Source organism: Homo sapiens, chromosome 9 (assembly GCF_000001405.40).
Source record: "Homo sapiens chromosome 9, GRCh38.p14 Primary Assembly".
In the NCBI taxonomy this organism is placed as follows: Eukaryota; Metazoa; Chordata; class Mammalia; order Primates; family Hominidae; genus Homo; species Homo sapiens.
Window position 1 is genome coordinate 92,880,156 of NC_000009.12, and position 16,433 is coordinate 92,896,588.

The following is a 16,433-nucleotide window of genomic DNA, read 5'->3' on the forward strand; positions in this document are numbered from 1 at the left end:
ATGGAAACTGGAGATTACTGCAAGACCCTATTGCAGTAATCTCTATATCTATTGCAATAATCCCTCTGAATAAAGTTTGTCTTACTATTTTTTAACAGGTGTCACGAATAGTTTTTTCTATGATACAGCTCAACAAAACAAGTCTGAAATAGAAGAATAAAGTGGGAGGAATTATTCTACCCAATTTTTTAACTTTTTACGTAGCTACAGAAATCAAGACAGTGTGGTATTGGCAGGGGTATAGACAGTTCAATAAAACAGAATTGAGAACTCAGAAATATTTCCATACAAGTACAACCAACTGACTTTTGAAAAAGATGCAATATCAATTCAATGGTACAGTGGTTCTGGAGCAGTTAGATACCATAGACAAAACAATGAACCTCAATCTAACCTCATGTCTTTATTTAAAAAAAAAAGGATCAGCCAGGCGTGGTGGCTCACGCCTGTAATCCCAGCACTTTGGGAGGCCAAGGCGGGTGGATCACGAGGTCAGGAGATCGAGACCATCCTGGCTAACAAGGTGAAACCCCGTCTCTACTAAAAATACAAAAAAATTAACTGGGCGTGGTGGCAGGTGCCTGTAGTCCCAGCTACTGGGGAGGCTGAGAGAGGAGAATGGCGTGAGCCCAGGAGGTGGAGCTTGCAGTGAGCTGAGATGGTGCCACTGCACTCCAGCCTGGGTGACAGAGAGAGACTCCCTCTCAAAAAAAGAAAAAAAAAGATCATAGATCTCAATGTAAAAATATGAAATTTAATGATAAATTCTTCAGGTCCTAGGACTTGATGAATAATTATTAGACATGACACCAGAAAAGCACAATTAATTATAAGAATTTATTAATTGGATGTTATCAAAATTTAAAACTTTTGCCCTGCATAAGAGCCTGTTAATAAAAAGACAAGGTAAAAACTGGGAGAAAACTGCAAACCACACCTGATAAACCATATCTGACAAAGAGGTCATATCTAGAATATTGTTTAAAGTTTTCAAAAGTCAACAACAACAACAAGGAAAAACAATCCAATTAGAAAATGGGCTAAAGGCATGAACAGATATTTCACTGAACAGGATATATTGATGGAAAATGAGAAAATAAAATAACTTTTATCAGAGGAATGTCAGTCCTTTTAAATTATCAAGCCCAGAGAGACGTTAAAATAAGACAGCAGGCCCCATGCGGTGGCTCATGCCTGTAATCTCAGCACTTTAGGAGGCCAAGGCGGGCGGATCACGAGGTCAGGAGATCCAGACCATCCTGGCTAACACGGTGAAACCCCGTTTCTACTAAAAATACAAAAAATTAGCCAGGCACGGTGGCAGATGCCTGTAGTCCCAGCTACTCCGGAGGCTGAGGCAGGAGAATGGCGTGAACCCAGGAGGCAGAGCTTGCAGTGAGCCAAGAGCGCGCCACTGCACTCCAGCCTGGGCGACAGAGTGAGACTCTGTCTCAAAAAAAAAAAAGGAAAACTGCATGTCCTGCACATGTACCCCTGAACTTAAAATAAACACATAAGTACATAAATAGAATTTAAAAAAATCTTAATTGTATGTGGGTAGGTCCCTTTGATTGAAAGTGAGATAGAAGGCTGGGCGCAGTGGCTCACGCCTGTAATCCCAGCACTTTGGGAGGCAGAGGCGGGCGGATCACGAGGTCAGGAGATCAAGACCATCCTGGCTAACACGGGGAAACCCCGTCTCTACTAAAAATACAAAAAGAAATTAGTCAGGCGTGGTGGCGGCGGACGCCTGTAGTCCCAGCTACTCAGAAGGCTGAGACAGGAGAATGGCTTGAACCCGGGATGTGGAGCTTGCAGTGAGCCGAGATCAGGCCACTGCACTCCAGCCTGGGCGACAGAGAGAGACTCCTCAAAAAAAAAAAAAAAAAAAAAAAAAAAGGAAAGTGAGATAGAAATAATTTTTTTAAAACTTACTATTCAAAATTTGCAAAACTAAATAAGAGTAAAAGAACTTTACATTTTGTCCCTGGATTGATATAAGACAAAAACATTGTGTGGGAAAGCTGGAGTTGAGGACAAATGAGATTCTGAGAATAAAAATCCCTGGTACATAGCCAAAATTTCAGAGTCAACTTCAGATTTTCAAGGGCCATAAAATAGGTAACCTCAAGCCACCAACTCCAACAGATAAAAGGAACCAGGTAATATGTGTTCCAGGGAGAAAGAATAGAAAATTGGCTGAGTTCTATCACTGACAAAACTTAGCGGGAAGGAGAGATCTGGAAGGTGGGAAGGTGGAGGGATCCCCGGCTTGGGGGGTGGGGAGGGGCTGTGCTTCGGTCTCCCCCTCCTACTGCCCCTCCCCAACAAAGGAGCCCTTTGTGATGTGAAGGCCCAGCTCTGTGATGCAGGCCTGGGCCCCAGTCCCTAGCCTCCACGGGGATGCCCAGAGCTCAGTTGCTTGAAAGCAATGCACCTATTCACATGGAGAATCTTCCCTTTCCTCTAAAATTACTTAGTCCCTCATCGCTAAACACCCCCAGCTCCACACCATGGGTGTTGGATATCTTCCTCACCTTGGTGTTTGCCCTGGGGTTCTTCTTCCTATTACTCCCCTACTTATCTTACCTCCATTGTGACGATCCACCCTCACCATCGCCTGGGAAGAGAAAGGTAAGGAGCCCTCAGTCCAGACCCACAGAGCTTGATTCTCTCCTTCCTTTTTATTATTAGTTCCACTTTTCCAAATCCAGTGGAGGGACTTCTGCGATGGGAAGTCTCAGGAGAGACCGGAACATCATGCTTCCAGGGAGAGGCAGGGCAGCCAGGGGTTGGTAGGGGTAGATTGTGTACAGGGATTTCCATCCCAAGCCCTCAGTCCATCTGTTGGGGAGCGCAGGAGGCGTGAAGGCAAAATCAAACCCGTGGGCTCAGCGGCCAGGAATGGTCATGAGACGGGGGAGGTCTCTGGTCATGAGACAGGGGAGGTCTCTGTCCGAGGCCAGGCCCTAAGCCCTGGCTCATCAGCCCCTTCCTGGGGCAGGTGGCTTGGGGCCCAACCTCCTCTGTGTGGGGTGATATGGGGCCTGTGCTGGGCCCCCAAGGGCCTCCCACCGGGGCCTGGCATCTCCTCTTGTCTCCTGGGAAGCAGAATCCTACCTGACAGCTCAGTGGTGCCTGTGGGCCTGAGCCTGGGTGTTCCAGGAGCAGAGGAACAGGGACTGATGGCGTCCATGGTGGACCTCATATTGAAAATCCCTCTGTGTGTGTCTGTGTGTGTGTGTGTGTTATTTTTATTTATTTTATTTTATTTTATTTTTTGAGATGGAGTCTCACTCTGTTGCGCAGGCTGCAGTGAAATGGAGCGATATCTGCTCACTGCAACCTTTGCTTCCAGAGTTCAAGCTATTCTCCTGTCTTAGCGTCCTGAGTAGCTGGGGATTACAGGTGCCCGCCACCACACCTGGCTAGTTTTTGTATTTTTAGTAGAGACAGGGTTCCACCATGGCCAGGCTGGTCTCAAACTCCTGACCTCAGGTGATCCACCCACCTCGGCCTCACAAAGTGCTCGGATTATAGGCATGAGCCACCGTGCCTGGCCCCCTCTTCCTGTTTTTCTAAGAAGAAAAGCAGTTTATCATCCATTTAAACATGAATGGGAGGAAGCACACAGAGCTCCCTGAGCAAGACAGAGAGAGCCATGCGGTTCATGAGTGCAGAGTGCTGCGGCTGGGCTGGGGGTGGAGAGGGAGAGCCGGTCCTAGCTCCTCGCCATTTCTTGTCTCCCAGTGTCATCTTGTCTCCTCGCGTCATCTTGTCTCCCAGTGTCCAGTAGGGCAGAGGGGGATGCCCAGAGGCAGGATGAAAAACCACAGTCTTCAGAGGTAAGGCTCTGCCAGGGCACACTAGAGTTAATTTGATCTCGTCTGTCCCTGAGGGAACTGACTCTGAAGAAGTCAGTTGAAGAAGCCTGAGGTGGGGGCTCCTAGGAAGGAAATCAGAACCCCGGGTCCTTCTCAGATTCCATGCCGGAATGAAGCCATGGTGGGCCAGGGACTGAGCGTTACCCAGCAGGGGGCAGTGTGTGTGTTCTGGGGAGACCAATGCCTGCCTGGATGCGGAGGGGGTTGAGGGGGCCTCCCGCTCCCTGGGAACAGCTGTTCAACTCTGCTAAGGCTGATTCCTCTTTGAGACCACCCCAGTCCTTTCTCCACACAGGGCAGTTGTGAGGACTATGGGGGTGGGGGGCCTGTTTGTGGAAGCCCTTTGTGAATGACAAAGCCCTGTCCTCCATGCCTTGCTATTACCATCGGGGCCATGTGGCTTTGGACACAGATGGGTGGGTTCCAGGGTCTAATTCCCCATGGTCTTCCCTGAAGAAACATACACTCAGCCTCCTGTGAGATCCCAGGCCCCTCCCTCACTGCCCTAACCCGGTCTGATTTCCAGCTTGTAGAGAGTGCCTGAGAGGCCTGGAGGAGACTTGGGACCTGCTTTCACAACTGCAGAGGTGAGGCACTTCCCCTTCCCTGCATCCTTCCTACCAGGGCTGGGATGCGACCTCAGGGCCATAGGCAGCCTGGAGCTGACCTGGGATGGGGAGACCAGGGGGACAGAGGATGAGAGTAAAGGCCTGGGGCAAGGGGTAGCAGGAGAATTGGGCAGTCAGGGTGTGGGGTGGTGGAGGGGCTGTGGCCCGAGCGCCCACTCTGACCTCCGAATCCACCTGCTCCTGGCTGCAGCTTGTGCCTCCTGTCTCCTGCAGCCTCCTAGGGCCACACCTTGAAAAAGGTGACTTTGGTCAGCTCTCCGGTCCAGACTCCCCAGGTGAGGTGGGCAAAAGAGCACCTGATGGAGCCTCCCGGTCCTCTCATGAGCCTATAGAAGATGCTGCTCCCATTCTCTCCCTGTTAGCTTCCCCGGATCCTTGAACCAAGCATCCTCAGGATCTGGCCTCCACCCCACCACCAGGCCCAATGACCACCTCAGTCTCCTCCCTAAGTGCCTCCCAGCCACCAGAACCTTCCCTTCTCCTAGAACATCCCTCACCCGAGCCACCTGCACTTTTCCCTCACCCACCACGCACTCCTGATCCTCTGGCCTGCTCTCCGCCTCCTCCAAAAGGCTTCACTGCTCCTCCCCTGTGGGACTCCACTCTGATAACTCCATCTAACTGTGACTCAGTGGCACTTCCACTGGACACTGTCCCTCAAAGCTTGACTCCACGTGAGGATTTGGCAGCTTCTGTCCCAGCCATCTCAGGTCTTGGCGGCTCAAATAGTCAAGTTTCTGCCTTCTCCTGGTGGCAGGAGACTACCAGAACCTGGTGCGTCTTCAATTCGTCAGTCCAGCAAGATCATCTTTCCCGCCACCCACCAGAGACCTGTCAGATGGAAGCTGGTAGACCATTTTTGCTCAGCTCTGATGGCCAGGATGTCGTGGGGATACAAGTCACAGAAATCAACATTTGAGAGGAAAAAGAAAATGATGGACGATTTCCAAAACAGCCCACAAAAGCACTTGAATGCTTTGGGGAATTTGGTTAAATCACTGGATGCTGAGCAGGACACCACAAGCCCAAAACCCTTCTGGAACATGGGAGAGAACTCAAAATAGCTGCCCAGTCCTCAGAAGCTCTCAGATCCTAGGCTCTTGCAGGAAAGTTTTCAGAAGAATTATAGCCAGCTTTTCTGGGGCCTCCCCTCTCTGCACAGTGAATCTCTGGTGGCTAATGCCTGGGTCACTGACTGTATGTAAGGGTCTTACATCCTTACATCAATGAAATGTCCAATGTCTGCCCAATTCAAAGGGAGACTACAATGTCCCCACTGCTTTTCCAGGCCCAGCCCCTGTCCCATCTGGGGCCTGAGTCCCAACCCTTTATTTCATCCACACCCCAATTCCGGCCCACACCTATGGCTCAGGCCCATCTTCAATCCTCTTTCCCAGTCCTATCTCCTGCTTTTCCATCCCCGATGAAGAACACTGGAGTAGCTTGCCCTGCGTCGCAGAATAAAGTGCAAGCTCTCTCCCTACCTGAAACTCAGCACCCTGAATGGCCTTTGTTGAGGAAACAACTATAAGGTGGGTTGGCTTTACCCCCTAGGGTCCAAAAATCTCAGGACATCTTTAGTGTCTCCACTCCTAACCTTCCCCAGGAAAGGGGACACCCATTCTGCCTGAGAACTTTCCAGTCAGTCCTGAACTCCAGAGCAACATATTGAAAAGTGGTTCATTCAACACCAGGGCAAGATTCAAGAGTCTCTGGATCTGATGCAGCTTTGGGATGAATTGCCAGGGAAAAGTCAGGCGAAGGGCAAACCCAGGTCCTGGCAGTCCTCCATGTCCACAGGTGAAAGCAGCAAGGAGGCACAGAAGGTGAAGTTCCAGCTAGAGAGGGACCTGTGCCCACATCTGGGGCAAATTCTGGGTGAGGCCCCGCAAAATCTATCCAGGGGCATAGAAAGCTTCCCAGGGAAGACTCTGGGGGTGACCTCTGAAGAGTCAGAAAGGAACTTGAGGAAGCCCTTGAGGAGTGACTCGGTAGGGATTTATTAAGACTCACGGACAGGAATCATATAGAAAACATCCTGAAAGCCCACATGGGTAAGAGGTTGGGCCAGACCAACGAGGGCTTGATCCCCGTGAGTATGCATCGATCCTGGCTTGCTGTCAACCAGGCTCTTCCCGTGTCCAACACCCACATGAAAACCAGCAATCTAGCACCCCCCAAAAGTGGGAAAGCCTGTGTGAACACAGCCCAGGTGCTTTCCTTCCTTGAGCCATGTACTCAACAGGTGCTGGGAGCCCACATTTTGAGGTTTTGGGCCAAACACAGGTGGGGTCCACCCCTCAGGGTCCTCAAGCCCATTCAGTGCTTTAAACTGGTTTCATCCTTGTGCAATACACAGCTTGCCGGTCCCTCCTCAGCCACCTGTGAATCTGGGGCTGGCTCAAAAGTTGAGGTGGCCACGTTCCTTAGAAAGCCACCAATGGCAAGTCTGAGAAAGCAGGTGCTGACCAAAGCATCTGTTCACATGCCAGAGAGGCTTCAGGCCTCCTCACCTGCATGTAAGCAGTTCCAGAGGGCCCCACGAAGGATCCCATCTTGGAATGATCATGGGTCCTTGAAGGCTCCTACAGCTGGACAGGAGGGCAGGTGGCCATCTAAGCCCCTCACATACAGCCTCACAGGCAGCACCCAGCAGAGCAGGAGCTTAGGAGCCCAATCTTCAAGGGCGGGAGAGACCAGGGAGGCAGTGCCACAACCCAGAGTCCCCTTGGCAACCTGTATGTTGGCAAACATCCAAACCACAAGTGAGGATGTGCGTGGTTTCGAGGCTCCAGGGGCCAGCAAAAGCTCTCTCCTCCCTAGAATGTCTGTCTCCCAAGATCCAAGAAAGCTGTGTCTTAGGGAGGAGGTTGTTAGTGAATTTGAGCCTGGAATGGCCACGAAGTCAGAGACCCAGCCTCAAGTTTCTGCCGCTGTTGTGTTCCTTCCAGATGGGCAAGCATCTGTTGTGCCCCATGCTTCAGAGAATTTGGCTTCTCAAGTGCCCCAGAGCCATCTCCAGAGCACGCCTACTGGGAACATGCGGGCTTCCCAGGAGCTACGTGACCTCATGGCAGCCAGAAGGAGCAACCCGGGGCAGGGGCACAAGGAGCCCAGGAACCCAAACTGTCAAGGTTCATGCCAGAGCCAAAGGCCAATGTTTCCCCCTACTCACAAGAGGGAGAACCCTAGGAAGCCCAACTTAGAAAAACATGAAGAAATGTTTCAAGGACTGAGGACTCCTCAACTTACCCCGGGCAGGAAGACGGAAGACAGAACACACCCATCAGAATGAAGGCATCCAGCTACTGCCATCAAAGAAACAGCCTCCTTCAATAAGCCACTTTGGAGAAAACATCAAGCAATTTTTTCAGAGGTTTTTATCAGAGAAAAAAAGCAAGCCAGCACCAGTCACTGCTGAGAGCCAAAAGCCAGTAAAAAACTGATCATGCATGTACAGCAGCAGTGCTGAAGCTCAGCGGCTCATGACAGCAGTTGGACAGATACTGGAGGAGAAAATACCACTTTGCCATGTGCGCCATGCCTCGAAGGTAAATCAGCACCAACAGCAGTTTCAAGCCCCAGTCTGTGGATTTCCCTGCAACCACAGGCACCCCTTCTACTCAGAACACAGCAGAATGCTGAGCTATGCAGCCAGCAGTCAGCAAGCCACCCTCAAGAGCCAGAGTTGTCCCATCAGAGACAGAGAAATTGATCAACAGACCTTGAAAAGTGTCCGGTGCAACAATGAGGGCCTTCACTGTCCCTCTTTCTGTCAGCATTTTAATCACAACTGTTTAACAAGTCTCTACAATGGTCCAAACTTTCCCTCATCTTCCTGTCTTCTTCCAAGTCCTCCAAACTCTCCACCCTCTGGCTGTTAGCCACTTCTGAACCTGCTTTTATATTTTCAGCTATCTTTGTCACAGCCTGGCAATGTAGAAGGAAAAAAGGCCATTTTCAGAGCAAACTTCAAGAAGACTTCAGATATTTGCATTAAAAAGAAGACCAGTGTTAACAGAGAACACGGTGGGGAAAAGTCATTGAAGGCATTTCATAGCTTCACTTCGCAGTACTAATTTTCTGTATGATCATAACAAAAGGGATTTAGTTGGCTAGGCTAACTAACTCAGGAAGCCTCCCCATCATACCAGAAGGACAAGCAGCAATAAAATGTTTCATATGGCAGGAGTAGGAGCAAGACAGAGAGGAAAGAGATATCATACCCTGTTATACAACCAGATCTCATGAGAACTCAGTATCACAAGGTCAGCATCAAGAAGAAGGTGCTTAACCATTGGTGAATGATCCACCACCCCACTCACCTCCACCCCCAACTGTTTCCAGGCAGAAAACTGATGCAGAGGCAGAGCCACTTGGAATACCTCTACTAGGGCAGTGCAGAAGGAACATATGGGCTTGAAGGCCCCATGCAGCAGGCCATCATCCTAGAGACATAGACCCACCAACAACCCACACCCTCAGTATGGAAAAGGTACAGGCACTTAACACCAGCCCAGCCCATGAAAGCATCCATGAGGGCTAAAGCCGGCAAAGCCACAGGTGCACTGTTCTAGTAGAGGTTTCCCATGAGCCTCTGCCTCTGCAGCAGGTTACTCCCCCTTCCTACTACCCACCAGCCTCCCACCACACTACGGCCAGGCTACTCCTCCCCACCCTCCCCACCCCTTTCTCCTTACACCCCCACCCTCCTCCCATTCATGATTAAATCACCTCCCACCAGGCTTCACCACCCAAATTTGGGATTACAATTTCACATGAGTTTTTCTAGCAAAACACAGCCAAACCATATTATTCCGACCTTGACCCTTCTGAATCTCAGGTTCTTCTCACAGGGTAAAATACAATCATGCCTTTTCAAAAGTTTCCAAAAGCCTTAACTCATTCCAGCACTAACTCAACTATAAAAAGTTCAAAGTCTCATCCGAGACAAGGCTACAGTATCTTCTGCCTATGAGTCCCTGAAGTTAAAACGGAGTTCTTTTCTTTCAAGGTACAACGATGGTACAGACATTGGGTAAGCTTTCTTAATCCAAAGGGAAGAAATTTCCCAGAAAAATAACACAAATGGGACCACAGGCCCAATGCACATCCAAAACCCAGCAGACCAGTATTCAATCTCACAGCTACGAAATTATGACGAGAACTATCAGAAGGACAGCATTAAGGAGATGGTATTTAACCATTTGTGAAGGATCTGCCCCCACCCCTGTCTTTCACCCCCAATGCCACCATAATTCCCCCCAATTCTCCCTGACACCCCCACCTTCCAACCTCCACTCTCCACCATGATTAAATCACCTTCCACCAGCCCCCACCTTTAACATTTCCCGTTATAGTTCCACATTAGTGGGACACAGAGCCAAGTCATATTATTCTGTCCCTGCCCACTCAAATCTCATGTCTTTCTCACATTGCAAAATACAATGGTGCCTTCCCTACAGTCCCCCAAATCTTAACTCATTCCAGCAAATGTCCAAAGCCCAAAGTTTTATCTGAGACAAGGATACAGTCCCTTCTGCCCATAAGCCTCTGAATTATAAAGCAAGTTAACTACTTCCAAGGTACAATGATTGTACAGGCAATGGGTAAGCATTCCCAGCCAATAGAAGAAAAATTGCCTGAAAGAAAAACAAACACTGATGGGACTCACAGGATACATGAACGTCCAAAATGCAGCAGGCCAGTCATTCAATCCTACAGCTCCAAAATCATCCTTTTGGAATCCTTGTCCCACATCCATGGCACAGGGGTGTGAGGGCTGGGTTCCCAAGGCTTTGGGCAGATATGCACCTGTGGGTTTGCAGTGATCAGTCCCCACTGCTGCCCTCATGGACAGCGCTGGTGTTGAGTGCCTGTAGCTTTTCCACAGAGAGGGGGTAAGCTGTTGGTGGGTCTATGAATCTGGGGTTTGGAGGATGGTGCCTCCCTGTGTGAGGGCTTCAATCCAATATGTCCATTCTTTGCTGCCTTAGTAAAACTTTCCATGAGGCTCTACCTCTTGGAAAGGCTTCCGCCTGGACACCCAGGCTTTTCTGTACATCCTCTGGAGTCTAGACGCAGGCTCCCAAGCCTCTAGTCTCTTGCTCTGTGCACTTGCTGGCTTAACACTATGTGGAAGCCATCAAAGCTTGGAGCCACTTCTGAAGCAGTGACCCAAGCTGTACCTGTGCATCTTTCAGCCATGGCTGGAGCTGGAGCTGCACGGATGCAGGCAGCAGTGTCCTGAGGATGCACACAGCAGGGAGGCCATGGAGCTGGCCCAGGAAACCATTTTTCTCTTCTAGGCCGCAGGGCCTGTGACAGCAAGAGTTGCTGCAAAGGTCTCTGAAATGCCTTCAAGGCCTTTTCCCCATTGACTTGGCTATTTGCACTGGGCTCTTTTTTATGCAAATACTCTAAATGTTCCCTAATTTTCCTCCTGAAAATCAGCTTTTCTTTTTGACCATTTGGCTAGGCTGCAAATTTTTTAAATTTTTGAGCTCTGCTTCTCATTTAAATAGAAGTTGCAACTTGAGGTCATTTCTTAGGTCGCACATAAGAACACAGGCTGTTCAACGCGGACAGGACACCTCTGGAGCTATGCTGCCTACATGTTCATTCCATCAGATACATCCTAAATTATCACCCCCAAGTTCATAGTTTCACAGATCTCCAGGGCAGGGTCACCATGCAGCCACGTTCTTTGTTAAGGCCAATCAAATGTAACTGTGGCTCCTGTTCACAGGAAATTCCTCATTTTCATCTGAGACCTTTTAAGTCTGGCCTTCACTGTCCATCTTTCTGTCAGCCTTCTGATCACAAGTATTTAACAATTCTTTTCAGTGGTCCAAACTTTTCCTCATCTTGCTGTTTTCTAAGCGTTCTCAACTCTCCCAACCTCTGTCTTTTACCCACTTCTGAACCTGCTTCTACATTCTCAAGATATCTTTGTCACAGCCTGGTAATGTGGTAAAAGAAGAAAAGTCCATTTTCAGGGGGAAAATTCATGAAGGCTTCAGATATTTGCATGAAAAGAAGCTGAGTGTTGATTGCTAAGACGATGGGGAAAAGGCCTTGAAGGCATTTCATAGCTCCACTTCACAGCACTAATTTTGTGTATAATCATAAAGAAAAGAGGTGTAATTGGCTCACAGTTCTGCAGGCTGTAAAGGAAGCATACTGGCTTCTGCTTCTAGGAGGACTCAGGAAGCCTCCCAATCATACCAGAAGTCCAACGGGCAAGGAGATGCTTCATATGGCAGGAGTAGAAGCAAGACTGAGAAAGGAAAGAGGTCCCACACCCTGTTATACAACCAGATCTCATCAGAACTCTGTATCACAAGGTCAGCATCAAAAAGATGGTGCTTAACCACTGGTGAAGGATCCGCCCCCCCACACCCACCTCCACCTCCCACCGTTTCCAGGCAGAAGCCTGCTGCAGAGGCAGAGCCAGATTCATAGACCCACCAACAGCTTGCACCCTCAGTGTGGAAAAGCTACAGGCACTCAACACTAGCCCAGTCCATGAGAGCAGCCGTGGGGCTAAAACTTGCAAAGCCACAGGTGCACTGCCCTAGTAGAGGTTGTCCATGGGGCTGTGCCTCTGCAGCAGGCGACTCCCCACTCCCAGTGCTTTATCATTCGTGAAGGATCTTCCCGCACCATTTTATGACTAAATTTTTTTCTACCTAGGCCCCACCTCTAATGTTAGGGAGTATAGTTCCACATGAGTTTTGATAGGGACATAGAGACAAACCCTATTATTCTATCCCTGACCCCACAAACATCATGTCCTTCTCACATTGCAAAATACAATCATGCCTTGCCAGCAGGAGTCTTAACTCGTTTCAGCATTAACTAAAAGTTACAAAGTCCAAAGTCTCATCTGAGTCAAGGCTACAGTCTCTTTTTCCTATGAGCCTCTGAAATAAAAAGCAAGTTCACTGCTTCTAAGGTACAATGATGGTACAGGCATTGTGTAAGCTTTCCATATCCAAAAGGAAGACATTTCCCAGAAAGCTTCTTATTTCTATCTGAGACCTCCTCAGCCTGGCCTTCAATGTCCATGTTTCTGTCAGGACTTTTGTCACAACCATTTAACCAATCTAAGATGGTCCAAACATTTTCTCATCTATCTGTCTTCTTTTGAGCCCTACAAACTCTTCCAACCTCTGTCCATTACCTAGTTCCAAAGCTGCTTCCACATTTTCAGGTATCTTTATAGCAATGCTCCAGTCCTCATTTGCCATTTTCTGTATGATTCATTTTGAAAAAGAGGTTTAATTGGCTCATGGTTCTGCAGGGTAGACAGGGTAGACAGAAGCATTGGCTTCTGCTTCTGGGAGTTCTCAGAAATCTTTCAATCTTTGTGCAAGGTGAAGAGAGAGAGAGTTGTCTCACATGGCAAGAGGAAAACACGCAGAGTAGGGAGGTGACATAGAGTTTTCAATGACCAAGTCTCATGAGAAGTCACTCATGATTGTGAGGACAGTAGCAAGAGGATTGTGCTAAACCATTCATGAGAAATTTGCCTTCAGGATTCAATCACCTTAGACCAGGATCCACCTTCCACATTAGGAAATATAATTCAACATGAGATTTGGTGGGGATACATATTCAAATTGCATCATCAATCTTTGAATATAAAGACATCCACAGCAGGCTTTATCCAGCCAGCTTCTTTGAGACTCTTCACAGGGTTTGAGGTCTACAGCATATATACTAAAATATTCATCCTTCAAAAAGCAATAAAATAAGTGGTATCATTCTTCCAAAAGTTACAATGGTAGTGTAGGCATTCATAGCATGATTTAGTTCATGTTTGCTACTCTTTCTATTCTATCACCATATTAACTGTTTCCTACACAATTCTACATTCAGCTGAGTTTCAGTTGAGAGCAAAACCATCCTTGTCCTACCACCAATAGCTAGCACTAGCTCTTTGCTAGTGTTATTATTCTGCTGCAGAAAGTATCCTTGAACTGGAAATAGTCCACAGGGGAGTATCTATTCATTCAACACTATCAATTCCTGGGTGACTTTTTGAAAAAATAGTATCTCTAGTTGCAAGAAATCCTGCATCTGTGAGTTCATATCTCTCACTCAAATTGGATGGAAGTGGTGAATTTCAGCCAAAGTGTCCCAAAAAATCCTGTTCCTGTGATTCTGACGTTATCAGCCTCTGCACCTCTGTCCTCCCTTCTGCCACATGTTGCCTACTCTCCATGACTTTGGTAAGAGCTTCCTTGTGTATGTGGATGATGTCCAGGATGTTGGTCTGGTGTCCCTGAGACAGCACTAACAGGTCCATGACTGAGTCCACTTCCTGGCTGGGTTCATTGGCAAAGAGCTCACAGACGGTGTTGAAGGCATCTCTGGTGAAGTGATGGCCTGTTCCAGATCCAAGACCTGGCTAAGGCGGAAGAAGAACTGGCTGCCTTCTGCTGCTCTTTCTTAAAGCCTCTGACCATCATCAACTTGCATGTCAACTCATTGGCTGTGAAGTTGAGCTGAGTGCCCTGTTGTCCATCTTCTTGATGAAGCACTCGAAGCCTTCAATTTTGCTCTCCCACTTCTAAAGGTTGAGGGCCACCCTGGGGGTGGGCTCAGAGTCAGGAAGAAGCTGGAACTCACCACCTCATCCTTCTCAGCCTTCCTCTTGCCCTGTCTCCAGGCTGTCTTTTCAGCGCTGGTGGGGCACATCAGGAAGTGACAGAAGATGTGGCACTGTGCCTGCACCCAGAAGCTGGCCGTGTGGTTCATCCACCAGATTGGGCCCTTTCTGCACTTGAACATAGAGTCCTCCTCAAGATGGCCTGTGGTCTGCCTCTTGGCACCCAAGAAGCCCACAGTGCTGTAGGAGCCCTGATGCATGGACTGGAACCCCAAAGGCAGCGCACACCCTGCTCCTGAGCCTGCTGCTCATTTCCTCTATGTGGCTCCATTTGTAGCACAGTTGTTGCACTGAGGCCTGTGCATGCCAGGCAAGGCCAAGCTGGCTCAAAGAACAAACAGCCACCTCTGCAAGGGTGTGCCAGGAGCAGGTGGACCAGCCACGAACCTCACTCGCTGCCAGTCAGGGTAAATTAGTTATTCTGCCCTGGAGGTAGGTCCCCAGTGCCATCTGCTTTTCCTTAGGCCTCCTCTCCATCAGTCATCAGGTGGCAGCCACTCAGGCTGTGGGAACCTGGCCACCCCTGTTTCCTTGAGTGGGTGAGGCTCGTGGCTGGTCCACCTGCTCCAGGCACACCCTTGCAGAGGTGGCTTGTTGCTCTTTGAGCCAGCATGGCCTTGCCTGGCATGCACAGGCTCTGGGTACTGACATGCTGCTCTGAGCGAGCTTGTCCTGTCTTGGGCCAAATTCTAAGTCTGGCCAGAGCCACAGAAGGCTGAGTCCCCTGGGTGGTAATCCTGACTGCTGCTGGAGGGCCCATGGTGCCCCTCCCCTCCTAGGGCCCAGGATGAGGCCCAGCTGGGCCAGGACACTTTAGGTATGGATCTTGTTTCCCAGGAGGGGGCCTCTGTCCCACAGGTTGGGTGAGAAGATGTATGCCATGCTGCTGGCTGCCAGGGTTGTCAGGATGCCACGTTCACCCTCCCCTCCAGGGACATCAAAGTTTCCAGCTTCCCCTTTGAGAATGACTTCCCAAGGCCCAGGAGCCATGTGGGGCTGCCGGGCAGCTGGCCACATGCTGCCCTGGCTTCTTCCATGTTGTGTTCATCACTACCCACCAAGGGGGGTCAGATGCAGGCACCAAGTAGGGCAGTTGTCTCTGGACCTGCATCTTGGTTATCATGAAGCCAGACTGGGCCTGGTGACAGGGCCATGATGGGGTGGGCCTGGTGACAGGGCCATGATGGGGTTGTCCTGGTGGTCCTGTGGGTGTCCAGAGGAGATGCAGAATGGAATTGCTGCCAGGATGAATCAGATGACTGTCAGCACAGAACAGGCACCTGGTGAGTGCTCAGGGTTTACCCTCAGTAGCTGCCCAGAGGCCAAAACCACCCACCTGATAGCGACTGTCCCTAAACCAGGAGGAAGAGAAGACAGCAGGTTCCACTCACTTAAGTCTGATCAGTGAGCTGTGCTGAGATGTGCCTCTCACCTAGAAAACGGTCCTTCATGCAGAGCCACTCACAGACACTGCTGTGTGTCTCTAACTGCTCCACAACACAAAGGCGATGGGGGCTCAGCAACAGTGACATCGTGGGGTGACACAATGCACCACAACAGGAGCCTGCTTGGGTCAAGAGGGCCCAGAATCAGTATCCTGTATCCCCTGAACTCACATGTGTGCATGCAATGTGTTTATGCATGCATGTGTGTATGTGTGTGTGTATGCACATATGGGTGTGTTTGTCTTGCTTCTCTGGCCTGACCTAGCTGCTCACTCACAGGTGCACCCAGGTCCTCATCACTATCACCACCAGGGCCCAGGGCCAGGATTAGAGCCTCCACAGGTGCTTCCCCAATCTCTGCCCTCCCCACAGGGGGTGGTCCTGGGGATGCAGACAGAGGAGGGGCGCTGAGCAGAGCAGAGAGGGCTGGCACCCTCTCCAGGTGGAACCCAGGTCATGTGTAAAGTTGGAGGTCTGCCAAGCAGTGCTGGATTCAACACATCTTCTCACTTTCCCTTTCCAGCAACCCTCCAGGGTGCCCTGACTCACCTTCCCTACAGATGGAGGCAGGGAGGCTCCACAGACAAACCCCCTGCCTAAGGTCACATAGCAGCCAACTGGCCAGGTTCCTACTGACCAGGCATCCCCCAACCAGGTCCCACTGACAAGGCCCCTAATGACCACTCCTCCATTGACCAGGTCCCACTGGCCAAGTCCCCACTGACCATATCTCCATAACCAGGAAGAGGCCCCTATTAATAGGCCTCATGGACCAGACCCCACTGACTGGGTTCCCACT

The 16,433-nt window shown here is 49.7% G+C and overlaps 2 pseudogenes across 1 annotated transcript, besides 4 other annotated features; one reads left to right on the forward strand and one right to left on the reverse strand.

Annotated features, from left to right (window-relative positions):
* On the forward strand, positions 2,412-9,400 carry SPATA31B2P (SPATA31 subfamily B member 2, pseudogene; annotated as a pseudogene). Its single transcript, NR_111003.1, has 4 exons — positions 2,412-2,634; positions 3,751-3,845; positions 4,411-4,471; positions 4,727-9,400. The product of NR_111003.1 is annotated as an SPATA31 subfamily B member 2, pseudogene (transcript).
* Positions 2,462-2,979: an enhancer, noted in NCBI's record as "H3K4me1 hESC enhancer chr9:95644899-95645416 (GRCh37/hg19 assembly coordinates)". NCBI's record gives its function as "activates a minimal SCP1, AML or CMV promoter by ChIP-STARR-seq in naive H9 embryonic stem cells {active_cell/tissue: H9 hESC(naive)}" and the evidence as "EXISTENCE:reporter gene assay evidence [ECO:0000049][PMID:30033119]".
* Positions 2,980-3,496: an enhancer, noted in NCBI's record as "H3K4me1 hESC enhancer chr9:95645417-95645933 (GRCh37/hg19 assembly coordinates)". NCBI's record gives its function as "activates a minimal SCP1, AML or CMV promoter by ChIP-STARR-seq in naive H9 embryonic stem cells {active_cell/tissue: H9 hESC(naive)}" and the evidence as "EXISTENCE:reporter gene assay evidence [ECO:0000049][PMID:30033119]".
* Positions 10,966-11,466: an enhancer, noted in NCBI's record as "H3K4me1 hESC enhancer chr9:95653403-95653903 (GRCh37/hg19 assembly coordinates)". NCBI's record gives its function as "activates a minimal SCP1, AML or CMV promoter by ChIP-STARR-seq in primed H9 embryonic stem cells {active_cell/tissue: H9 hESC(primed)}" and the evidence as "EXISTENCE:reporter gene assay evidence [ECO:0000049][PMID:30033119]".
* SNX18P2 (sorting nexin 18 pseudogene 2) lies at positions 13,513-14,350 on the reverse strand (annotated as a pseudogene).
* Positions 14,468-14,968: an enhancer, noted in NCBI's record as "H3K4me1 hESC enhancer chr9:95656905-95657405 (GRCh37/hg19 assembly coordinates)". NCBI's record gives its function as "activates a minimal SCP1, AML or CMV promoter by ChIP-STARR-seq in naive H9 embryonic stem cells {active_cell/tissue: H9 hESC(naive)}" and the evidence as "EXISTENCE:reporter gene assay evidence [ECO:0000049][PMID:30033119]".